Consider the following 15,558-nt stretch of genomic DNA (forward strand, 5'->3'; position numbering starts at 1 on the left):
TGTAATCCCAGTACTTTGGGAGGCCAAGGCAAGCGGATCACCTAAGGTCAGGAGTTCAACACCAGCCTCCCCAACATGGGGAAAGCCCATCTCTACAAAAATACAAAAATTAGCAAGGCACGGTGGCAGGTGCTTGTAATCCCAGCCCAGGAGGCTGAGGCAGCAAAATTGCTTGAACCTGAGAGGCAGAGGTTCCAGTGAGCTGAGATTGTGCCATTGCACTCCAGCCTGGGTGACAGAGTGAGACTCCATCTCAAAATAAATAAATAAATAAATAAATAAATAACAATAAACCTATTTTTCTTTATAAATTACCCAGTCGTGGGTATGTCTTTATCAGCAGCATGAAAACGGACTAATATACTGAGTGACAGAGCAAGACCCTGTCTCAAAAATAAATTAATTAAAAACAAAGAAAGGAAAAAGAAGAATGTCAAGGTCGTGAAAGACAAGGAAAGAATAAAATTTTCAGATTGGAGGAGACCAAGGAGACGTGATGACTAAATGTGACGTGGGACCCTAAAGGTGATCCCGGACCAGAAAACAAGGCCATGAGTGGGATAACTTGGGGAAATCCAAATAAAATCTGGAGTCTGGTTAACACTGATGTCCAGTGTTGATTCTTAGTTATGACAAATGGATCATAGTCTTGTAAGATGTTAGCATTAGGGGAAGCCTATCAAAATCTCAATGGCCTTTTTTGCAGAAATGGAACTGATCTTAAAATTTATATGAAAACACAAAGGACTCAGGAATCTTGAAAAAGAAGAATAACATTGGAGGACTCACACTTCCTAATTTCAAAACTTACTACAAAGCTACAGTAATCAAGACAGTGTAGTACCAGCATAAGGAGAGACATAGAAACCAGTGGGATAGAAGTGAGAGCCCTGAAATGAATCCAGACAGCTAAGGGCAACTGATTTGAAATAAGGGTGCCAAGACCATTCAATGGGGAAAGCATAGTCTTTTTAACAAACAGTGCTGAGACAACTGAATAGGTACATGCAAAAGAGTGAAGTTGGTCTGTGGGTGGTGGCTCACACCTGCAATCTCAACACTTTAGGAAGCTGAGGTGGGAGGATCACTTGAGCCCAGGAGGTTGAGCTGCAGTGAGCTATGATCACACTACTGCACCTCAGCCTGGGTGACAGAGCAAGGTCCTATCTCAAAAAAAAAAAAAAAAAAGAGAGAGAGAGAGAGAGAGAGAATGAATTTGGATCCCTACCTCACACCATATAAAAAAATTAACTCAAAACAGATGAAAGACCTAAATGTAAGAGCTGAAACTATAAAACTCTTAAAAGAAAACACAGAGATAAATCATGACCTTAGATTTGGCAATGGTTTCTTTGAGATGTGGCATCGGAAGTACAAGCAGCAAAAGAAAAAGAGAAATTGGATTTCATCAAAATTAAAATTTTTTGTTGCACTAATGGACACTGTCAGGAAAGTGAAAAGATAACCCATAGTATAGGAGAAAATGTCTGCAAATTACACATCTGATGAGGGCTAGTATCCAGAATTTAGAAAGAACTTTCACGACTCAACAAAGATAAACAACCCAATTATTAACAGTAGTGGGGCTGGGTGTGGTGGTTACATCTGTCATCTCAACACCTTGGGAGGCTGAGGCAGAGAGGATCACTTGAGGCCAGGAGTTCAAGACCAGCCTGGGCAACATAGTGAAACCCCTAAAAACCAAGTACATACACATGGGTGAGCATGCACACACACTCACACAAATGCACATGCACACTCATGTGTAGTCACACATGTGTGATACAATCATGCAGTCACATATGCATGCAAACAAACACTAAATGTAAATTACATTTTTAGGGTACCCATTGAAAATCTGAATATTGCCTATGAATTAGACAATATAATTTGGTGAATGTAATTTTCTTAGGTGTGACCTAAGAAAATGGCCTTGAGGTCAGGTAAAATAATGCCTTTTTTTAAGTATACATTATGGTCAAGTATTTAAGAGTGAAGCACTATCATGTTTGTAACTTGCTTTCAAATGCTGCAGCCAAAAAATGTGTAGAGAAATAGATGGATGCGTGAATTGGCAGATGGATGGATGGATGAAGGGAGGGATAGAGGGAGAATGGATGAAGGGAGAGTGGATGAATGGATGGATGAAGGGTGCATGTATGGATGGATGGATGAAGGGTGGATGAATGGATGAAGGGCGGATGGATGGATGGATGGATGGAGGGTAGATAAATAGGTAAGTGTAGTGGGTGGATGGATGGGTGGAGGAAAGAAAGAAAGGAGGAAAAGAAGGAGGGAGAGAGGGTAGATGGATGGATGGATGGATGGATGAAGGGTGGATGAAGGGCAGACGGAAGGATGGATGGATGGATGATAAATGGATAGGGGTAGTGGGTGGATAGATGGGTGGAGAAAGGAAGGAAGGGAAGGAAGAAAGGAGGGAGGGAGAGTAAATGGATGGATGGATGATGGATGGATGAAGGGAGGCGCAGAGGGAGGGTGGATGGATGGATGAATAGATAGATGGAGGATGGATGGATGGATGAAGGGTGGATGGATGGAGGGAAGATGAGTGGATAAAGGGTAGTAGGTGGATGGATGGGTGGAGGGAGGGAGGAAGGGTGAATGAATGGAGGGAGAGAGGATAGATGGATGGAGGGATGAAGAGAGGGACAGATGGAGGGATGGAGAGAGAGATGGAGGGTGGATGGAGGGATGAATGAAAGGATATAGGCAAAGCATTAATTTATAAATCTAGGTGAAAGTCTCATGGTTGTTTATTATATTAACATTTTTCAATTTCACTCTAAATTTATTAATGTCCCCCTTATAAAAAGACACCCAAACAGAAGTCCCCTTCTGCTTGAGATCTTGGGGGGAAAAGGAGAGCACAAACCTTTCTCCTCTTCTTTACTAAATTTATGGCATCAAAACAACCTTAAAAGATTGGAGTGAGCGCCCCCATTCACCAAGCAAAACAGGTTCAGAAGGATGGGTGCCAAGATGTGGGGAGTGGAGCCCCCCAGTTCCCCCCTGCCGGGGCCCTGGCGCTAGAAGAAGAGGAAGAGGTCCCTGCACCATGCCCAGCCTGGCCCCAGCATGAACCCATCTTCCCTCCATGCCCTGAGGTTGTGCCCGGGCCCCTCATGGCAGTTTGGTGGGTAGGACGCGCTGGGGTTTCTGAGCCACCTCAAACAGGATTGAGATTCACCCGGGGAGCAAAATCTGAGTGACAGAGCCAGGTCTCCCCCTAATCAGAACAACAGTCTGGCCAGCTGAGAACACAAGGTTCCTTCCTGTCCCCTGAGGAGGAGGCCAGCACCAGCGTCCCCACCCTGCACCACTGGTTTAATGGAATTACAAGAAGAACAGTGTGTTCAGCCAAGCTGGGCATGATCCTGTCTGACTTCTCATTCTTACAACCTCTGCAAAGGGCTGTTAATCCCAGGAAACAGGCAGCCTTGGCGCCACGATTCCTCCAAGCTGAACCCCAGGGGCCTCGATATGATCAGAAAAGGAGTGTGAGAGGTTTATGGGCTGGTAGGGCCCTGGGCGCTGTGATGGCAACTGGTTTCCATTAGGGGTGACATTTCTGCCAAGGCTGGGGCTATAGCTTGAGCCAGAGGCTCTGCTGGGATTGCGGCCAGGATGCAAACAGCCCAGCCAGTGAGCCTGCCACCAGTCCACAAAGTTAACAGAGGGGTGATGTATCTTAAATATAGATGTGTATGGCCAGGCGCGGTGGCTCACGCCTGTAATCCCAACACTTTGGGAGGCCGAAGAGGGTGGATCACCTGAGGCCAGGAGTTCGAGACCACCCTGGTCAACATGGTGAAACCCTGTCTCTACTAAAAATACAAAAATAATTAGCCAGGCATGGTGGCAGGTGCCTGTAATCCCAGCTACTCGGGAGGCTGAGGCAGGAGAAGTGCTTGAACCCAGGAGATGGAGGTTGCAGTGAGCCGAGATTGTGCCACTGCACTCCAGCCTGGGAGACAGAGACTCTGTCAAAAAAAAAAAAAAAAAAAAAAAAAAAATATATATATATATATATATATATATATATGTATATGTGGGTATCTAGATGTCTATGAACACACATGTACACAGCATATCCATATATATGCACATATATACAGTTGACCCTTGAGAAATACAGGTTTGAACTGCCCACAACACTGATGTGTGGATTTTCTTCCACCTCTGCCCAAGCAAGACAGCAGGACCCCCTCTCCTCTTCCTCCTCCTCCTCAGCCTACTGAACGTGAAGATGACAAGGAAGAAGACCTTTACAATGATCCATTCCCACTTCACGAACAGTCAAGATATTTTCTCTTCTTTATGATTTTTTTTACCTGCGCCTGCCAGCGTAAGAAAATCTTATGATTTTCTTAATAATATTTTCCTTCCTGTAGCTTACATTATTGTAAGAATACAGTATATCATGCATAGAAAGTACAAAATCTGTGTTGATTGACTCTGGCCAATAGTAAGCTATAGATAAAGTTTAGTTAAGTTTAGTTTTGAGACAGGGTCTCGCTCTGTCACCCAGGCTGGAGTACAGTGGCACGATCATGTTTCACTGCGGTCCCAATCTCCCGGGCTCAAGTGATCCTCCTGCCTCAGCCTCTTGAGTAATTGGGACTACAGGCATGCACCACCACATCCGGCTGGGGTTTTTTTGTTTTTGTTTTTGTTTTGATAGAGATGTGATTTCACCATGTTGCCCAGGCTGGTCTCAAACTCCTGGGCTCAAGCAATCCTCCCGCCTCAGCCTCCCAAAGTGCCAAGGTTACAGGTGTGAGCCACCACGCCCGGTCGGGAACTCTACTTTTTGTTCAAGGTTTTTATAAAGTTACAACTGCTCTTAAAAAATTAAGTCTATTAATTAAAAGAAAAATACACACACACACCTTATGTAATCAGAATTGCAAAATAATAGACCCAGGAAAAATGAATGGCAGACACGGCTCTAAATTTACCTTGTCTTTGCACTCAGAGTGTCTGTGTGGAGAAACTCCCAGGGCCTCTGCACTAAGGGAAGGCTCAAGGCAGTGGGGAATCTGGCCCCATAGCAGCAGCTCTATGTCAGGTCTGGGTGCAGTGGTGCCCTGGGGCAGAGTGGTGATCATCATTGTCAGCCCTGGGCCACAGCCTAAATGTCCATAACAAATAAATAGCAACGAGCCGGGCGTGGTGGCTCACGCCTGTAATCCCAGCATTTTGGGAGGCCAAGGTGGGCAGATCACTTGAGGTCAGAAGTTCAAGACCAGCCTGGCCAACATGGTGAAACCCCGTCTCTACTAGAATACAAAGATTAGCCAGGCATTGTGGTGGGCACCTGTAATCCCAGCTACTCCAGAGGCTGAGGCAGGAGAATCACTTGAACCCTGGAGACGGAAGTTGCAGTGAGCTGAGATCGTGCCACTGCACTCCAGCCTGGCTGACAGAGTGAGACTCCACCTCAAAAACAAAACAAAAAAAAAAAGAAAGAAAAGAAACAAATAGTAATGCATGCATGCATTCTGCAGAATTCTCCCCTTGCTGGGGAGATAAGGGATCCCTGTGTCAGCTGTAGTATTAGGTCCCTTAGAGCAGGGGTCCCCAACCCCCAGGGCCATGGACCAGTACTGATTCATGGCCTGTTAGGAACCAGGTCACACAGCAGGAGGTGAGTAGTAGGCTGACAATCAAAACTTCATCTGTATTTACAGCCGCTCGCATCACTCATATTACCATGTGAGCTCCACCTCCTGTCACATCAGCAGTGGCAGCATTAGATTCTCTCAGGAGTGTGAACCCTATTGTGAACTGTGCTTGCACGGGATCTAGGTTGCATGCCCCTAATGAGAATCTCATGCCTGATGATCTGTCACTGTCTCCCACCACCCCCAGACGGGACTGTCTAGTTGCAGGAAAACAAGCTCAGGGCTCCCACTGATTCTACATGATGGTGAGTTGTATCATTGTTTCATTATATATTGCAATGTCATAATAATAGAAATGAAGTGCAAAATAAACATAATGTCCTTGAATCATCCTGAAACCATCCCCCGTGCCCGTGCCCCCGTCTGTGGAAAAATTGTCTTCCACAAAACCAATCCTTGGTGCCAAAAAGGCTGGCTACTGCTGCCTTAGGGGCTCACTCATGCTGTGTCTTTTTTGAGGAGTCTGGCTTTGTCGCCCAGGCTGGAGTGCAGTGGTGTGATCTCAGCTCACTGCAACCTCTGCCTCCCGGGTTCAAGCAATTCTCCTGCCTCAGCCTCCCGAGTAGCTGGGATTACAGGCACGCACCACCACACTCAGCTAATTTTTGTATTTTTAGTAGAGATGGGGTTTCACCATGCTGGCCAGGCTGGTCTCGAAATCCTAACCTCCAGTGATCCGCCTGCCTCGGCCTCCCAAAATGCTGGGATTACAGGCATGAGCCACAGCACCTGGCTCATGCTGCTTTTTGGATCCCGCATGGCCCAGGAAGGGTAGCTCCTGAAAATCTTACCTGCAGTGGGTGGGAGGGTGGCTGCAGCTGCAGGTAGCACTGGCTGGGGGAGTACCAGCTGCCGAGGGAGAGGTAGCTGGGCAGGTACTGAGCCCCCACAGGCTTCCCGTTCAGTGCCATCACCTTGGTCTGAGAAGAGAAGATGCTTAGATCAACACCCGAGTGCCAAGAGCAGAAAGGGGGTCTTGGGGATGCTTCTGCTTGCTCTGCCCAGAAGAAACACCCTCTCATGCTCCAATATCCCTTTGGGGAACCCCCTCCCCAATCCTCAGGGAGTAATAGCCAGTTGTCCAGCCCATTCTTCCTAGCATCAAGAAGCAAGTGTCCAGCTGGGCACAGTGACTCACACCTGTAATCACAGCACTTCGGGAGGCCGAGGCAGGTGGATCACCTGAGGCCAGGAGTTCGAGACCAGCCTGGCCAACATGGAGAAACCCCGTCTCTACTGAAAAAATACAAAAATTAGCCAGGAGTAGTGGCGCATGCCTGTAATCCCAGCTACTCAGGAGGCTGAGGCACAAGAATTGCTTGAACCCAGGAGGCAGAGGCTGCAGTGAGCTGAGATCATACCACTGCACTCCAGGCTGGCAACAGAGCAAGACTCTGACTCAAAAAAAAAAGAAGCAAGCATCCAAGATTGGTCAAAGGGTATTGGGGGTCAGGCAGAGTGGGTGCATACCTATAATCTCAGCATTTTGGGAGGCAGAGGTGTGAGGATCACTTGGGCCCAGGAGTTCAAGACCAGCCTGGGCAATATAGCAAGATCCAGTCTCTACAAAAAATTTGTGCCTGGAGACTCAGCTACTAGGGGAGGCTGAAGCAGGAGGATCACTTGAGTCCAGGAGTTCAAAGCTGCAATTTAGCTATGATCACACCATTGCACTCCAGCCTGGACAACAGAGCTAGACCGTATCTCTGAAATAATTTTAAAAAGAAGTTGGGCCAGGCGCGATGGCTCACGCCTGTAATCCCACCACTTTGGGAGGCCAAGGTGGGCAGATCACGAGGTCAGGAGATCGAGACCATCCTGGCCAACATGGTGAAACCCTGTCTCTACTAAAATACAAAAAATTAGCCGGGCATGGTGGCCGGCAACTGTAGTCCCAGCTACTTGGGAGGCTGAGGCAGGGGAATCACTTGAACCTGGGAGGCAGAGGTTGCAGTGAGCTGGAATCACGCCATTGCATTCCAGCCTGGGCAATAAGAGCAAAACTCTGTCTCAAAAAAAAAAAAAAAAAAAAAAAAAAAAAGTTGGCCTGCCTCTGTCTCTGGCTCCTGGGAAGTAGGTAGACTCTAAATAGGGTATAAACGGGCCACACCAGAAAGGCCAGTTGTGTGATTAGATGGCTGGGCTTTGAGCCACAGGTTATCAGCCCATCTCCAGGGAAGGGAGAGGGCAGGAGATTGAGATTAGTCCCATGGCCAATGATTTAATCAATCATGCAGACGAAATGAGGCCCCCACAAAAAACTTTGGACACCAAAGCTCAGGTGAGCTTTCCTGCTTAGCAATGCTCAGCTTGTGGGGATTACATATCCTGGTTCTGTGCAGAGAACACACAAAGCTTCCAATCTGGGAATTGCCCAGACCTCACCCTATGCATCTCTCTCTTTGGTTGGTTCTAATTTATGTCATTTTGCTATGGTAAAGCTGTAATTAAAAGGTGGTAGGGTAGTGGAATTTGCAGCCAGTAGGTGGGAAGCACAGGTGGCCCGGGGACCCCTGGACTTGCAGCTGGTGTCAGAATTTAGGGTAGTCTTGTGGAGAGGGCTGTGCCTACCACCTGTGAAGTGTGGCCCAGCTCCAGGTAGCTGGTGTCAGAAGTTACTGCAATCTCCCACCTGGTAGGGGATGGGCAGGGCAGATCTCTGGTTCCTCAAGGAGTCTGAGAGATGCCAGGCTGTGGTCACTCTCTTAAAACAGGACAGTGGGCCGGGTACGGTGGCTCACACCTGTAATCCTGGCACTTTGGGAGGCCGAGGCAGGTGGATTGCCTGAGGTCAGGAGTTCAAGACCAGCTTGACCAATATAGTGAAACCCCATCTCTACTAGAAATACAAAAATTAGCTGGGCGTGGTGGGGGGCGCCTGTAATCCCAGCTACTCGGGAGGCTGAGGCAGGATAATCGCTTGAACCTGGGAGGCCGAGGTTGCAGTGAGCCAAGATTGCACCACTGCACTCCAGCTTGGGCGACAGAGCAAGACTCTGTATCAAAAAAAAAAAACAACAGAACAGTGGCCCAGGTGACCAAACAGCTGTGCTGTGTGTTGAGCAGCAGGTCCAACACAAGAAAGCGTGAACCCATCTGGCTGTGAATGTCAAGTGGCAAGGCAGTGGCTTCAGTGGTTAAAACCTTTAGGACATGGTGCCCACAGAGGACAAAGTGACCACAGTGTCCTCAGTTCCCATCTACGTATTTACTCTCTGCAGGGCCGCCAGGTCCACTGCCAGTTCCCAAAGCCAAGGGCTGGGACATCCTCTCCAGTCCCTCCTGTTCTTGCCTCCCCTGATGATGGGACACTAAGGCCTTCTGGATCTACTTCCTCAAGAGCTCCAGTTTGGAGACCTCTCTGTCCTCACCTCCTGTCTGCCTGCCTGGGCCCGCCCTGAACCACCCCCAACTAAAGACTCTGGAGTGATCACTGGGTATCGAAAATCAGATCAGGCCAGACATGGCAGCTCATGGCCTATAATCCCTATGCTTTGGGAGGCTGAGGTGGAAGGATGGCTTGAGTCCAGGAGTTTGAGACCAGCCTGGGCAACATAGCAAGACCCCATCTCTACAGAAAAATTTATTATTTATTTATTTGCTTGTTTGTTTGTTTTTGAGATGGAGTCTCACTCTGTTGCCTAGGCTGGGGTGCAGTGGCGCAATCTTGGCTCGCTGCGACTTCCACCTCCCGGGTTCAAGCAATTCTCCTGCCTCAGTCTCCAGAGTGGCTGAGATTACAGGCACCTGCCACAACACCTGGCTAATTTTTGTATTTTTAGTAGAGATGGGGTTTTGCCATGTTGGCCAGGCTGGTCTCAAACTCCTGACCTCAGGTGATCCATCTGCCTTGGCCTCCCAACGTGCTGGGATTACAAGCATGAGCCACTGTGCCCAGCCTCTACAGAAAAATTTAAAAATTAGCTGGGTGAGGTGCTAATTACGGGCATGCACGTGTAATCTCAGGTACTTGGGAGGCTGACTCAGGAGGATCCCTTTAGCCCAGCAGTTAGAGGCTGCAGTGAGCTATGATGATGCCACTGCACTGCAGCCTGGGCAACAGAGCGAGACCCTGTCTCTTAAAAAAAAAAAAAAATCAGATCACTCTTTCGCCTGACACTGCCTTCCACTGAGCACCCGTGAGGTGGCGGAAACCACCATTGGCTCTCTCCCCAATCTCTTTCCAAAATGGCTCAATGTAGTTGAGCACTTGTGAGACTCTGATTACAGTATAATCACGGTCTGCCTCTGAACCTGCACCCAGGCTGTTCCACCCGCCCAGAAGCAGCCTGGCTGACTTCCCCATGGTCAGGAGTCCATTTGGAGAGATCTCCTTGGACAAGACTCCTTTGGCATAACTGGTCCAGGCACCCTTATCTCTCTTTGACCTTCCACCTGATCCCAGGATGGCTGTGTTGTCCATCCCACTGTCTAGTGGAATGTGTACTCCTGCAGGGCTGGGACGGGCTCCAGGCCCACTGATCAGGTGCCTGCACCCAGCCTGGGGGAGGCCCCAAGTCCATACCTGCTGGCTGAATAACAAGGGTCCACGGGACTCACCCACCTCCAGCCACACGTGCTGGGCTGACGTGGGGATGGAGGGGATTTCAAACCCCACTAGTCCACGCTGGGACACAACTTCACTGGTGTAGATGTTATCCTTTGGTGTCAGCTCTGCCTTAATCTGGACCGTCACCCCCTCAGCTGGGCTGCCATCGGGGTAGGATAGCTCCACCTAGAAAAGGTCACCCAAGACACAACAGAGTTAAGACGGCCATGCTCCCCAAACTGATCTGCAGAATCAACGCAATCCCCACTGGAATCCCAGCAGGCTTCTTTGTAGAAATTGACAAACTGCTCCTGAAATTCACAGGGCATCGCAACGAGTTCCAAATCGCAAAAACAATCCTTAAAGGGAACAAAAAAGAAGGACTCACAGGTCCAGGAGTGGTGGCGTGTGCCTGTGGTCCCAGCTACTCAAGAGGCTTCCAAGGCAGACATGGAAGCCGGATGCAGTGGCTCACACCTATAATCCCATGTGAGGCCAGGAGTTCCAGACCAGCCTGGGTAACATAGTGAGACCTCACTACAAAAAACTTTAAAATTTCAGGTGTGGTGGCATGCACCTATAGCCCCAACTATTCAGGAGGCTGAGGTGGGAGGATCACTTGAGTCTGGGACTTCAAGGCTGCAGAGAGCTATGATGGTGCCACTGCACTCCAGCCTGAGTGACTGAATGAGACCCTGTCTCTTAAGAGAAAAAAAGTTTTAAATGAAGTTGCATCCCTACCTCACACCATATACAAAAATAAACTCAAATGGATCACAGACCTAAATGTAACAGCTAAAGCTATAACATTCTTAGAAGAAACATAAGGGTAGACCTTCATGCCCTTGGATTTGGCAAAGAGGTCATGAAGTACAAATTACATGTGCTAGTCATTAGTCTGATGCCATACCAGGGTATGGACAGTTCAGTGTGACACTTAAACCTCACCCATTCAGACTGGTTGGAGAGCCAGCTAGAATGAGGCAGACATAGATGTTTTAAAAGGAGCACAGATTGTAGCCTCTGAAGAACCCTAAAACAGCCCTCAGCTGTGCAGGTATCTGGTGACGGAGTGAACCAGGATTCAGCCCACATGATCTTCATTAACCACTCCCTTTTTTTTTTTTTTTTTTTTTGAGAGACAGAGTCTTGCTCTGTTGCCCAGGCTGGAGTGAAGTGGCCCGATCATAGCTCACTGCTGCCTCTACCTCCTGGGCTCGCAATCCTCCTGCCTCATCCTCCTGATAGCTGGGACCACAGGTGTACAATACCATGCCTGGCTAATTTTAAAAAAAAATCTGTAGAGCTGGGGTCTTGCTCTATTGCCCAGGCTGGTCTCAAACTCCCAGTCTCAAGCAATCCTCCCACCTTGGTCTCCCAAAGTGTGAGCCACAAACGTCTGGCCTATTTCTTTTTATTTTTTGTAGAGACTGGATCTCACTATGTTGCCCAGGCTGGTCTCACACTTTTGGCCTCAAGTGGTCCTCTTGCCTTGGCCTCAAGTGGTCCTCTTGCCTCGGCCTCCCAAAGCACTGGGACTACAGGCATGAGCCACCATGCCCAGCCTAACCACTCCTTTCTTGAATGCAGATGGTAGGTATTTTCTGTCATATGTGAAACGCTCTTTACCAAATTTGTAGCCTTAAACCTCTTCTTCATACACATTCTGACCCCGCACGAGGTACTTTAGTTTCTACTCAAGCTGGGGCCCTCAAAGCCAGGGACACAGGAGATGTGTCTGTGCATGGGATAGAGGTGGCTCCAACACTGGCATGGAGAAGAGAAAGGAGGTTCCAAAGCAGAACAAGAGGGTCAGAACTCAGTGTTAGGACAGCCAGCCAGCATCACTCATGGACGGCAAAAGGGAACTGGGTGCAGACAGATGCAGGGCCAGGGATGTGGCCCACTTTCCCCTTGCATGACACTGGGCTCTGTTGGCCTTGCCCCACTCCTGCTGCTGCAATTGGGGTGAAGATGCCCCAGGTTTGTTTTTGTTTTTTGTTTTTTGTTTTTTTATTTGAGACGAAGTCTCACTCTGTCTCCCAGGCTGGAGTGCAGTGGTGTGATCTTGGCTCACTGCAACCTCCGCCTCCAGGTTCAAGCAATTATCGTGCCTCAGCCTCCTGAGTCACTGGCATTACAGGTGTCCACCATCATGTCTGGCTAATTTTTGTATTTTCAGTAGAGACAGTATTTCACCATGTTGGCCAGGTTGGTCTTGAAGTCCTGACCTCAGGTCATCCGCCCACCTGGGCCTCCCAAAGTGCTGGGATTATAGTCATGAGCCACCGTGCCCAGCCTACCCCAGTTTAACAGTTAAAATAAGAATAATGACTGGGTGTAGTGGCTCACATCTGCAATCCCAGCACTTTGGGGGTCTGAGGTAGGAGATCTGCTTGAGCCCAGGAGTTCAAGACCAGTCTGGCCAACACAGCAAGATCCCATCTCTACAAAAAATTAAAAAATTGACTAGGTGCGGTGGCTCCTGTTTGCAATCTCAGCACTCTGGGAGGCTGAGGCAGGTGGATCACCTGAGGTCAGGTGTTCAAGACCAGCCTGGCCAATGTGGTGAAACCCCGTCTCTACTAAAAATACAAAAATTAGTGGGGTATGGTGGGGCATGCCTGTAATCCCAGCTACTCTGGAGGCTGAGGCAGGAGAATCACTTGAACCCAGGAGGCAGAGGTTGCAATTAGTCGAGATCATGCCACTGCACTCCAGCCTGGGCGACAGAGCGAGACTCTTGTCTCAAAATAAATAAATAAATAAAAATTTAAAAATAAAAAAATTTGCTGGGCGTGGTGGCTCATGCCTGCAGTCCCAGCTACCCAGGATGCTGAGGCAGGCGGATTGCTTGAATCCAGGATGTCGAGGCTGTGGTGAGCTATGATCTCACCACTGCACTCCAGCCTGGGCGACAGAACAAAACCCTGTCTCTAAGAAGAAAACATATATAAGGATCATGACATCTGGACACCTCAAAATTTACCGTGCATAAGACTTGAGTGGTGGGTGGGAGGCAGAGGCTCGTTCAAAATGTCACATGGGTCTGCACCTGTCAGTCTCAGGAACAGAAGGTCTACCTTTGCAGGGCTCTCAACTTAGGTCCTCAGGGGATAAAATCAACCCAGTGAAGGGCCAGGAGTGATGGCTCACGCCTGTAACCCCAGCACTTTGGGAGGCCAAGGCGGGAAGTTCACTTGAGGCCAGGAGTTCGAGACCAGCCTGGCCAACATGGCGAAACCCCGTCTCTACTAAAAATACAAAAATTAACTGGGCTTGGTAGTATGTTCCTGTAATCCCAGCTACTTGGGAGGCTGAGGCAGGAGAATCACTTGAACCTGGGAGACGGAGGTTGCAGTGAGCCGAGATGGAGCCACTGCACTCCAGCCTGGGCGATGGAGTGTGACTATCTCTAAAAAAAAAAAAAAAAAAAAAGAACCCATTGAAGAAACAGGACTGCCTTAGAGCAGTTGCTTTAATAAATGGCTACTCAGATGTCTGTCCAAGTGGAATAGAGTAGATTGTCCTTTCCCGTGGAGGAAAATGTCCCCTGCCCCTCACCTGGAACACCAGCCCTCTCCACTCTCCGCAAAGGTTATGTCAGGGGATCCGTTTTCAGCTGAGTCACCACTGCAGAGCTAGTGGCTAGTGGTGGTGGTTTCACGGTGGTCCTTGGGCGGGAGGCAGCACAGTCACCCCCAAGTTACCTTCCCCACGTAGGCCAGGCCCGGCTTGAACTGCTTCCTCGTGTCCTTGGAGTACCGGATGTCCACCAGCTGCCTCTGCACGGGGGTGGAGTCATCGAACGCGACCTGCTGGCTCCCGTCCACACTGGTCACCATGGCCCAGATGCTGACCCTGCCCCGGAAGTGCTCAGGGACGTCCGCTGGGATCATGTCCCTCACGCAGATGTCGAAGTCCCGGGAGCCGAGGATCTGGAGGGAGGAAAAACACAGCCCGTGCTCACTCAGGGTTGGAGTGTCTTTGAGGGATGTCCCTGAAACACACACCTGAGGTGCAAGACTCTTCAGCTGCTTGGAGGGCCAGGGGTCACTTGGTGGCATACCCAATCTATGCCACGGGACCATGCAGAGGGTCCCTCACTGGATCTGGACAACATCCCAGGGAAGATGGATGTTGGCTCCATTGGGCAGAAGAGGAAAGAGGCTGGGTGCGGTGGCTCACGCCTGTAATCCCAGCACTTTGGGAGGCTGTGGCGGGCGGGTCACTTGAGGTCAGGAGTTCGATATCAGTCTAGCCAACATGGCGAAACCCCGCCTCTAGTAAAAATGTAAAAAAATAGCTGGGCGTGGTGACAGGCACCTGTAATCCCAGATACTTGGGAGGCTGAGGCATGAGAATCGCTTGAACCCAGGAGGCAGAGGTTGAGGTGAGCCTGAATTGTGCCACTGCACTCCAGCCTGGGTTAAGAAAAAAAAAAAGAGGAAAGAGATTCCCATGCTGACACAATCTCCCACAGCCCAGGCAACAGAGGGGGCAGCTGAACCTGCTCAGCCTCACTCTGGGGCACCAGAACTCCCTCATTCAATTCCTATCTCAGGATCCCACCCTGGGACTTGGCAAATAATCCTCATTCAGAAAGAGCTGTGGAGTAAATTACTCCGTAAATGAGAGAACTAAGTCAAAGACCATCAGCTGGTAGCCTCCCAGGAGAATGGCTGGGATTCTCCAAGGTGCCAGTGTCAGGAATGGGAAAGGTAGGGGTTTATGGTTTCCAATCCATGGAAGAGAAGCCTCAGAGAGCAGAGAGATGGGCTGGGTGTGATGGTGCACACCTGTAATCCCAGCACTTTGGAAGGCCAGCAGCGGCAGATCACTTGAGGTCAGGAGTTCAAGACCAGCCTGGCCAACATGGCAAAACCCTGTCTCTACTAAAAATACAAAAATTATCCCAACACGGTGGCACATGCCTGTAATCACAGCTACATGGGAGGCTGAGGCAGGAGAATTGCCTGAACCCAGGAGGCAGAGGCTGCAGTGATCCAAGATCGTGCCACTGCACTCCAGCCTGGGAGACAGAGAGAGACTCCATCTCAATAAATAAATTAATTAAATTAAATTAAATTAAAGATATCTCAGACATAAGAGAGGGGAGCCCATTGGAGCAGATGTGTCTCAGGTGGGAAAGGGACTGAGAAGGAGCTTTGGGTGGGAGGTGGGGAGGAGCCGGTGCTGAAAGGCTTAATGTCCGGGCACCTACAAAGGGATGGGAATCTCCAGGAAGGTGGGTGTCTGTTGTACTGTAGCCCACTCACAATGTAACATTATGCTGAAAGA

General features: G+C 49.1%; 1 protein-coding gene across 14 annotated transcripts in view; it reads right to left on the reverse strand.

Moving 5' to 3' along the window:
* Positions 1 to 15,558, reverse strand: part of CPAMD8 (C3 and PZP like alpha-2-macroglobulin domain containing 8) — a 133,860-nt gene that overhangs the window by 90,193 nt on the left and 28,109 nt on the right. For 13 of the 14 annotated variants that reach the window (XM_011527917.2, XM_047438612.1, XM_011527922.2 and 10 more), the window contains exons 11-13: positions 13,968 to 14,195; positions 10,273 to 10,443; positions 6,500 to 6,628 (exon numbers count right to left, since the gene is read on the reverse strand). In XM_011527917.2, coding sequence (XP_011526219.1) covers positions 6,500 to 6,628; positions 10,273 to 10,443; positions 13,968 to 14,195 — 528 coding nt within the window. The remainder of the gene's footprint in view (positions 1 to 6,499; positions 6,629 to 10,272; positions 10,444 to 13,967; positions 14,196 to 15,558) is intronic. The other variant, NR_165644.1, reaches the window with a different exon arrangement.

Source organism: Homo sapiens, chromosome 19 (genome assembly GCF_000001405.40).
Source record: "Homo sapiens chromosome 19, GRCh38.p14 Primary Assembly".
In the NCBI taxonomy this organism is placed as follows: domain Eukaryota; kingdom Metazoa; phylum Chordata; class Mammalia; order Primates; family Hominidae; genus Homo; species Homo sapiens.